The sequence below is a fragment of the Homo sapiens genome, chromosome 8 (assembly GCF_000001405.40).
Source record: "Homo sapiens chromosome 8, GRCh38.p14 Primary Assembly".
NCBI classification, from domain to species: domain Eukaryota; kingdom Metazoa; phylum Chordata; class Mammalia; order Primates; family Hominidae; genus Homo; species Homo sapiens.
In genome coordinates, this window is record NC_000008.11 from 76,075,047 (window position 1) to 76,085,355 (window position 10,309).

General features: G+C 34.0%; 1 long non-coding RNA gene across 1 annotated transcript in view; it reads right to left on the reverse strand.

Annotated features, from left to right (window-relative positions):
* Positions 1-988, reverse strand: part of LOC105375906 (uncharacterized) — a 31,793-nt gene extending 30,805 nt beyond the window's left edge. Inside the window, exon 1 of the long non-coding RNA XR_929059.3 lies at positions 848-988. This is a non-coding gene — a long non-coding RNA (uncharacterized LOC105375906). The remainder of the gene's footprint in view (positions 1-847) is intronic.
* Positions 989-10,309: the final 9,321 nt, after the last annotated feature.

Here is a 10,309-nt window from a genome sequence, read left to right on the forward strand (position 1 = left end):
TGAAAATGATGGACATCTTATCTGGGGTGAGTCTGGCCTAATCAGCAGAGCCCTGGAGAAGAAATGGACTTTTCCTAATGTCAGAGATTCAGGGCATGAGAGAATTCCATACAAGAGAGATTCTCTACTGCTAGCTTTGAAGGAGGAGGGGAACATGAGACAAGAAATGCAGGCAGCCTTTAGGAATGGAGTGGCTCCCCAACTAATAACCAGCAAGAAAACAAGTACTTCAGAACTACATCCACAGGCAATTTAATTCTACCAATAATCTCAATGCACTTGAAGGTCATCCTTTCTTAGTGCCCCCAGATGAGAACTCAGTTTGGCTGACACTTTGATTTTAGCCTTAGAATGAGTGAATTATGATCAGGACCAGAAATCCTAAGCTTGTCACATTGTGTCTGGACTCATTAATAAAAAGGTATTGTTTTAAGCTACTAAATTTGTGACAATTTGTCATATAACAATAGAAAACTAATACACATCATTTATAATATAGCTTATTTAAAAGCAAGAGTTATTCTTAGGAGCTAATGAAAAAAATAATATGTATGCTTCTGATATTAAATATCCATAGGTCTTGTAGCATACAAGTGCTACGTATCTTTATAGTACAATCATGATTACAAGTATGGTAAGTAGTTTAGTGAAATACTTTGTTGAACTGTGGTTATTTTAAACTAATCACTTGGATTTTGATAGTCAAAATAAACATTTCTGCTTGTTTATAAAAATGACATGAAATACCTTCTATATTTGTACATGCTGTTTTGCATATTTTTTCTCTAACCCAATAATTTTTAAAGCTATTTCAATTCTCCAAATGTTTTAAGGTAAATACTATTACTTTTTCATGTCATTGTGGCAGAACTTGCTTCTATGTAATCCTACTTTATCCATGACATGTCTTTGATGATTCATCCAGTTGACAAGTTACTGTCTGCTTTTAAGCTCTTTAGTTTGCATCAACATTGAGATGAAATGAGACTTGAACAAGCTGTACCATCGAAACAAAATAACATACAATCATTGTATTGTTAAAAAAATAAAGCTTTGTAATGGACAAAAATAGCTAATGGAGTAGGATCTTTGATTCAATCCTTGATTTTCTCACAGAATGTTCAGAATTAACTTAAATATCCTTTGTCCAATGACTTTAGCCTATAATTAAAAACAGAGAGCTCATCTTTGTTATATAATGTTTTACAGCTATATTAAAATATATTATGATTATATGTATATAATGAAATTGTCAACAATGGTTGAGTCCTGTAATTGTGAACTAAATTCAAGAAAGCTGCCTTGAAGATGAGAACTAACAGTGTCTTCATTTTGATTAGCTTACCTTTTCAAGTGTTCTGCTAGAAACCTCTATCACACAAATAGAAGCAATAACTTTATTGTCATCACTATAGCAACTGCAGAAAAATTTATTTCAAAACAGTTGGCTACCAGAAATTTTTTTCAGGATGGAAACAAGAGTAGATGATATACAATGGTTTAATTCATTTTACAAAAATGTTCTAAACTACTACTGTGATCTAAACTACTGCACTTTCTTTTATAATGGCAATATAGTCCAGTTGCTTTGTGAATTTTTATTTAAACAATAAGAGATCAAACACATATCCATGTATGTGTTTAAGTTAATTTTAATTTTCTTTATGAATTAGTGTTCAGCATCTCTTGCATTTTTGAGGACAGCTTACAAAATTTTGTAAGAAGTAGTTTTACATTGATCATTCCAAATTTTAGTAGGTAATTATACTATTTTCTGTGAATTATAATATTTAAATAGAAAACATTTCATCATATATCAATATGCATTAAAAATTGAAAATAAATTAACACTCTCTTCTCTGCTTTTTACCAAAATAATCACAAATTTAAAGCTAGTTTATTGAATATTTTGTGCTCTCTTAAATTCCGATGCAGGAAAATGCTCTTGTTCTTCATATATATTTTGTATTTCTCTCAATTTTATCATGAACTTGCATGGTTCAAAGTTGCTGACAATCTGTATTTAAAATAAGATGATCATATAGTAGGGCTGCCTAGGCAATTTGTAACCTTTATATCTTTGCTGGAGACAGAGTTCTGAGAACTTCGTTTATAATGGCCTTTTAAAAATGCTTTTCTCGACTGATAGGACTTACTTTTTAAGTATTCTTCTCCTACTTTAACTGAAAAAGACCAAGATAAGAATTCAAGATTTCCTGAAATGCATTCTTATGCATGGACTATGCACATTTATAAGGTAGCATGGCTACCTTTAGGCTTCCCATAAAGTTTTCTACTGATGACCAACGAGATGAGTCCTCTGGAAAATGAAGGGAAATTGGGTGCTTTACCAAACCAATCACGATATGAATCTAAGCTTTTATAATCTTTGTGTGAATTCTACTCTTGTTAAGACTGAAGAATTAAATCTTTTAAATGTGTAAGATTATGCATAAAAGAACAATAAAAGATAAAGTTAATACAAGGCTTGTAGTAAACCATTACATAATTAAAATAATTCATAGATTATTTTTTAAAAAGCTCTTGGTGCTTTAAAATCTAAAGGGATTTTCGTTGTTCATTATTTTCCTTTACTGCAGAATCAGTTGAACAAAACATTTAAAACATACATATTTATATTATAGGTATAAGTTCAATATTATGTTGAGCTGCTGAGAAAGACTAATTAGATATTGTTAGCAATACATTTTGAAAACGTTTCCACAAAGAGTCTTGTTCAGTCAAAAGTATTTCTTATAAATACTTTTTCAATAAAGTTATCATATCTATGCTATGGATAATTGCCATCAATATTCTTTGGATCAAATGAGCTATAATGTAAATTGTTGACCTAATGACATATAGAACTATTAAAAATATTTTTGACCTTGAATATATTTTTTATTTAAAGAATCTTTCCCCTTCTAATTAGTAAGAATATTGTGATGATATTAGCCTTTTGATAATTATATTATTTATATTACCACATGAAAATGGTTTCCTATCATGGCAATAAAAGGTAGTGTATATATAAAAAAATCCCTCAATTTTTAAACATGTGAACATGATAACATACATATTTACCTCAAAAGTCAGATGTTTCTTCACTAAAAATATATTTTTTATTTTAAACTGATTTAACATAAATTGTTTTGTTTAAAAGTTAACAAAATTTTGGAGGCTACCAGTAGATGGCATTCTGGTTTCTGAGGAAATGTTTATTTAGGGATAGGCTCTTTTCTTTGGGAAAAGAAAAAACAAACATAGAAACTTGTGACAATAGGATTCTTATTGAAAAAGTTATTATTAGAGCTTCCTGAAAAATCTGTAGCCATTCCAAAAACAGGTAAGTCTCAAACCATGTTTCCTTTATTAATTTAGTTTACCAAACTCAGTCAGTTTGTTAACACTCGAAGTTGTGATTTGGAAGCTCTCGTGCAATTTTATTGAATAAAAATATAATGCTGTGGTAATTTTTAAAACAAACTAGAGAAATAGTGTGTTGGCTTCATTCAAAGCAGTATAATCAATAATCAACTTATACTAAGAACCATTTTATAGCCTACTGGCACAAATTTATTCATATTAGCATCATTTAGTCATGGATGAACATGTGATCCAATTTTCCTTCAAATTAACTTATTCCAAATAATAAACATAATCTAATGTAGCTTCCTGCACATAACAGATAATTGTTAGGTATTTTTTAAATTAATGAATTAATTAAAAAGTGCACCTGTCTGGGCGCAGTGGCTTATGCCTGTAATCCCAGCACTTTGGGAGGCCAAGGCGGGCGGATCACGAGGTCAGGCGTTTGAGACCAGCCTGGCCAACATGGTGAAACACCGTCTCTACTAAAAATAGAAAAATTAGCCGGGCGTGGTGGGATGCGCCTGTAATTCCAGCTACTTAGGAGGCTGAGACAGGAGAATTGCCTGAACCTGGGAGGCGGAGGTTGCAGTGAGCTGAGATCCGGCCAGTGCACTCCAGCCTGGGCGACAGAGCGAGCCTCTGTCTCAGGAAAAAAAAAAAAAAGGTGCACCTATCATTCCTTAAGATACTATTATTTCTTGATTTATTTGTAAAAGTACATAAAGTGAAGGTCCTCAAAAATTGTGTTATAAGAACCTCGAATGTCCAGTGTGGAGGATAGTCCTCTACTATTTGCCAAGAAGCCTTTCATTAATTGTTAGGTTACTTAAGAGGTCATTCAATGAATGCTAAATATATAGCTCCTCTCTATAACATTATCCTGAATAGCTGCATGTTTATTTTAATCCTGGGTTAGGAGAGGCATTAAAACCTCATGATCACTGAAAAACAAAACAAAACCAAAAAAACACAAAAAACAAGAACTGCAATAACTGTTTCTAACATTCTTACAAATAATCAAGAAGCCAAACATATTTAAAGCCACTCAGATTATCTTTTAGCAAATATGACAAAAGAATAAAAAAACTTAAACAAATTAAAAGTGCAATAAAGATCCATGTGGGTGATCATTTAGAGAGCAACCAATTTCCAAACACTGTTTTCATTACTTTCAATTTACCAACAAATAACTAACATAAAAATTATAAGTTTTCTTCTTATTAAACCCGTCCTCCTTAGGAATGTAAAATAGAGTACTTCGATAGTTTATATGTACTGGGTAATTAAAAATGAATTAAAGTCTATTTTTCCAAAAATCTAGATTTTGTATTAATTCTCACCATCTTTCCTTCATTGATCTAATAGGATAAGTTTCTATTGAAATAAGGCACAAATAATATTCCATGTGAGAAGGAATAATTAATCTTTTTTAATACTTTAGAATTTCTGGCTATGGTTTCTAAAACTATCGATTTTTCAGTTACTATTAGATTCTTCCACTACAGAAAGTTGAGAAGCATGGACATTTCTGGCTGTCTGTACAATTCAAAATGGCAGGTACCTTGCTATTATAAACAAGAAACTATATAGAACATGATTATTTTTATCTACATAGTGTCATCAAGTTTATCTATTCTTGATGGCCTTGCTTAAAAGCCATCTTCAAAAATCCCTCTCTGATATTCTCAATCAGAAATTGCATTTCTCACTTCTCAATTCTCAGCATTTTATGCCAATTTTTGATATAGTTCTGTTTCTTATTTTTTTTTTTTTGCATTTTGTTCATATATGTTTTCTATATTCCCTATGCAATAAGTTCTTTGGAGGAAAGTCCATTATTGTATCTCCCACAAGGGCTACAAAACTGTGTTTCATGTACTAGGCACTAAACAATCATTTTCAAGTTTACAATAGAGACTAGTGTAATAAGCACAATAAATGCTTTTTGAATTAAGACTATGAAATCAATATGAATAAGATGAATAAAAGAATGGATAAATCAATGATTATAATAGCTTATAAGGGAATAACAAAAAATATACTTATTTCTTGGGGAATGACAAATTTAGGCTAGTGTTTTGTATTTTGGAAATTAGCGTGATTTTTTCCAGTGGATTTTGTTTTATTCTAGATGACATTTAAAACTGTGAATGCCCATTTAGAATTACTGGGAGCATATAAACAATATTAGTTCTAATTCTAGCCAGGCGTGGTGGCTCATGCCTGTAATCCCAGCACTTTGGGAGGCCGAGGTGGGCGGATCACGAGGTCAGGAGATCGAGACCATCCTGGCTAATACGGTGAAACCCGTCTCTACTAAAAATACAAAAAAACAAAACAAAACAAAAAAAATTAGCCGGGCATGGTAGCGGGTGCCTGTAGTCCCAGCTACTCCGGAGGCTGAGGTAGGAGAATGGCATGAACCTGGGAGGCAGAGCTTGCAGTGAGCCGAGATCGCACCACTGCACTCCAGCCTGGGCAACAGAGCGAGACTCTGTCGCAAAAAAAAAAAAAAAAAAAAAAAAAAAAAGTTAATTAGTTCTAATTTTTTTACAACTTTTTAAGTGCACAATACTGTATTATTAATTATAGGCACTATGTTGTTCAGGGAATCTCTAGAACTTATTCATCTTGCATAAGTGAAACTTTATACCCATAGAGCAATAATTCTCCTTCATGTAAGTGCTCTTAAAACACACACACACACACACACACACACACACACACCACCCACAGAGGGCCACAAGGAAACTTTTGGAGTTGATAGATATTTTTACTACCCTGATTATGGTGACAACATTATGGGTGTATGTATATGACCAAACTTATCAGATTATTTACATTAAATATGGAAAAATTTTATATATCAATTATGCATCAACAAAGCTGTTTAAAAAATTACAAGTTTAATGTATACAATTTGATGAGTTTCGACATATACATATACTCATGAAAATGTCTATTACCTTGGTTGTGATAATGACTTCATGTAATTTAATTTTTTTATTTTGGTAAAATACACATAACATAAATTTACCATCTTAATAATGTTTAGATGTACACTTTAGTGGTATTTAATACATTCGTACTGTATTCGTAGTTTTGATTTGCATTTTCCCAATGATTAAGAATGTTCAGTATGTTTTAATGTGCTTGCTGACTATATTTATATATTCTGTGAAGAAAAACCTATTTATGTCCTTTGTCCATTTTTAAATTATGTTTTTAGTTTGTTTTTTGTTGTTGTTGTTGTTGTTGTTGTTATTGAGTTTTAGGCATTTCCTACAAATTCTGGACATTAATCTTTTATCAGATTTATGATTTGCAATACTTTCTCCCAATCTGTGGGTTTCCTGTTTACTGCTCGTAGTGTCTTTTAGTACCTACATTTAAAAATTGTTCAGAGTCTGGTTTATTTTTTCTTTTATTGCCTGTGTCTTAGGTGTCATATTCAAGAAATCATTGCCAAATCCAGTGTCATAAAGTTTTCTTCTAAGAGTTGTATTGCCTCAGGTCTAACAATAGGTCTTCGATTCCTTTGAGTTCCTTTTTGCATATGATGTTGGGTAACTTGTAATTTTGCATGTGGCCATTTACAAATTGTTGAAAATATTGTTCCTTCCTCATGGAATGGTCTGGCACCCTTGTCAAAATAATTTGACCATATATGCCAACATTTATTTCTGGGCTTTTCTTACTCCTTTTATTATGCTATAACAAAATATTTGACAGTGGGTAATTTATAAACAATGGAAATTTATATCTCACAGTGCTGGAGCCTGGAAGTCCAGTATCAAGGCACAGGCAGGTTCAGTGTCTGGTGAAGGCCCAGTCTGTCTGCTTCCAACGTGGTGCCTTATCGCCATATCCTTACAGGGTGGAAGGCAGAAGAGCAAGAGGGGCAAATTCTTTTTGAAGCCTCTTTTATAATAGAATTAATTTATTCATGAGAACAGAGTCCTCTTGGCTTAATCACTTCCCAAAAGGCCCCTCCTCTTAATACCACCACAGGGGAAGATTAAGTTTGAACATAAATTTTGGAGAGGACACATATTCAAACCATACTATTACTCCCCCGGCCCCCACAAATTCATGTTCTTCTCACATTAAAAATGCATTTATTCCATCCCAATAACCCCAAAAGTCTAAACTTACCTAGCATCAACTTTACAGTCTAAGTCCAAAGTTTCATCTAAATATCATTCAAGTCAGATATGGGTGAGACTCAAGGCATGAGTCATCCAGAGGTAAATTTCTCACCAGCTGTCAGCCTGTGAAATCAAACAAGTTATGTGCTTCAAAAATACAACTATGGGACAGGCAGAGGATAGACATTCTTATTCCAAACTGGAGCAATAGGAAAGTAGAAAGGAATAACAGGTCCCAAGTAAGTTTAAAACTCAATGAGGCAAATAATGTTAAATCATGAGGACTGAGAATAATGCTGTCTCCCTGTTACACCCTCTGAATACATTGAGATGGGGATTGGATCCCTAAATCTCTGAGAAACCCCCCTTTCACAGCTTTGCTGGCTGCAACTCTCATGCATTGAAGTTACATGCTTTGGTTTTCCCAGGTTAAAGTTGCACACTGGTGGGATTACCCTTCTGGGGTCTTGGGGGTGGCCATGACCCCGTAACTCTATTAGGCAATACCTTTATAGGGCTCTCTGCAGTGGCCCAAACACTACAACTCTACTGAGAATTGCTCCTGTGACGACTGTGGGTGTTAGTCCATACCCCATTTCTCCACTAGGCATTGTCCTAGTGGGGACGCTATGACAGCCTCACCCTGTGGCAGTTCTCTACCTGGGCTACAGGGATCACCAAGGCATTCTTTAAAATCTAGGTAGAAGAAGGCAGCTTCCACAGCTCTTGCACTCTGTGCACATGCTTAGTTAGCACTATGTGAATGCCACCAAGAGTTACTGCTTGTGCTCTCTGGAGAAGTAGGCTGAGCTGCACCTGGGCACTCTTGAGCTAGGATGGCCAAGGAGTGCTTCACTGGAATGTGGGAAGTAAAGACTTGTGGCACTGGACAGAAAGGCCTAAGGTCCCAATGGCACCCTGTACCACTCCCTTGAAACTCTTCTGTCCTTAGTACTCCTGGACTGTGATGAGCATAGCAGCCTCAAAGATCTCCAAAATGCTTTCAGAATTATCCTCCCATTGTCTTGATCAGTAGCATCTGGCTTCCTTGTATCCAGACTAATCTTTTTTTCACATAGTCACTTAGCTGTACCCTTGGTTTTCTCTCCTAAACATGTTTTAAAAAATTCTTATGTAGCTAGGCTGAGAATTTTCCAAATTTCCATGTTCTGTTTCTCTTCTTATTATAAATTCTATGTTTAATTTATTTATCTTTTCTCACATTCTACTATAAGCAGTTAAGAGAAGCCATGCAGCACTCTGGACACTTTGCTTAGAGATTTCTCCTGCCAAATACCCTAGTTCATCACTCTTAAATCCTGCCTTCCAGAAAGCATTAGAACACAGACAAAATTCAGCCAAGTTCTTTGCCACTTTGTAACAAGAATGGACTTCTTTCCAGTTTTCAATGAGATTTTCCTCATTTTGATCTAATACCTCATCAGAACAGCTTTTATTTTATTTTATTTAAATTTCAATAGTTTTTGGGGAACAGGTGGTGTTTGGTTCCATGACTAAGTTCTTTAGTGGTGATTTTTGAGATTTTGGTGCACTTGTCACCTGAGCAGTGTATGCTGTACCCAATGTGTAGTCTTTTATCCCTTACCCCTCCACACACCTCCCCACAAGTCCCCAAAGTCCATTGTATCGTTCTTAAGCCTTTGCATCCTCATAGCTTAGTTCCCACTTATAAGTGAGAACATATGAGTTTTGATTTTCCATTCCTGAGTTACTTCACTTAGAATAATGGTCTCCAACTCCATCCAGGTTGCTGCAAATGCCATTATTTTGTTCCTTTTTATGGCTGAATGGTATTCCATGGTATATATATTTACGAAGTTTTCTTAATCCATTTCTTGGTTTATGGACATTTAGGTGGATTCCATATATTTGCAATTGCAAATTGTGCTGTTATAAACATGCGTGTGCAAGTGTCTTTTTCATATAATGACTTCTATTCCTCTGGGTAGATACTCAGTAGTGGGACTGTTGGATCAAATAGTAGTTCTACTTTTATTAAATAATTCTTTAAGGAATCTCCATACTGTTATTCATAGTGGTTGTACTAGTTTACATTCCCAGCAGCGGTGTAAAAGTGTTCCCTTTCACCACATTATTACCACCATCTGTTATTTTTTGATTTTTTAATTATGGACATTCTTGCAGGAGTAAGGTGGTATTTCATTGTGGTTTTGACTTGCATTTTCTTGATAATTAGTCATATTGAGCATTTTAAAAATACATTTGTTGACTATTTGTATATCTTCTTTTGAGAATTATCTATTCATGTCCTTTGCCCACTTTTTGATGGGATTATTTGTTATTTTTCTGCTGATGTTTTTGAGTTCTTTGTAGATTCTGGATATTGGTCCTTTGTCAGATGCATAGTTTGTGAATATTTTGTCTCACTCTGTAGGTTGTCTGTTTACTTTGCTGATTATTTCTTTTGCTCTGCAGAAGCTTTTTAATTTAATTACGTCCCATCTATTAATCTTTGTTTTGGTTGCAGTTGCTTTTGGGTTATTGGTCATGAAGGCTTTGCCTAAGCCAATGTCTACAAGAGTTTTTCCAATGTTATATTTTAGAATTTTTGTGGTTTCAGGTCTTAGAACTAAGTCTTTCATCCATCTTGAGTTGATTTTTTGTATAAGGTGAGAGATGAGAATCCAGCTTCATTCTTCTGCATGTAGCTAGCCAGTTATCCAAGCACCATTTGTTAAATAGTTTCCTCACTTTACGTTTTTGTTTGCTTTGTCAAAGATCAGTTGGGTGTAAATATTTGGCTTTAT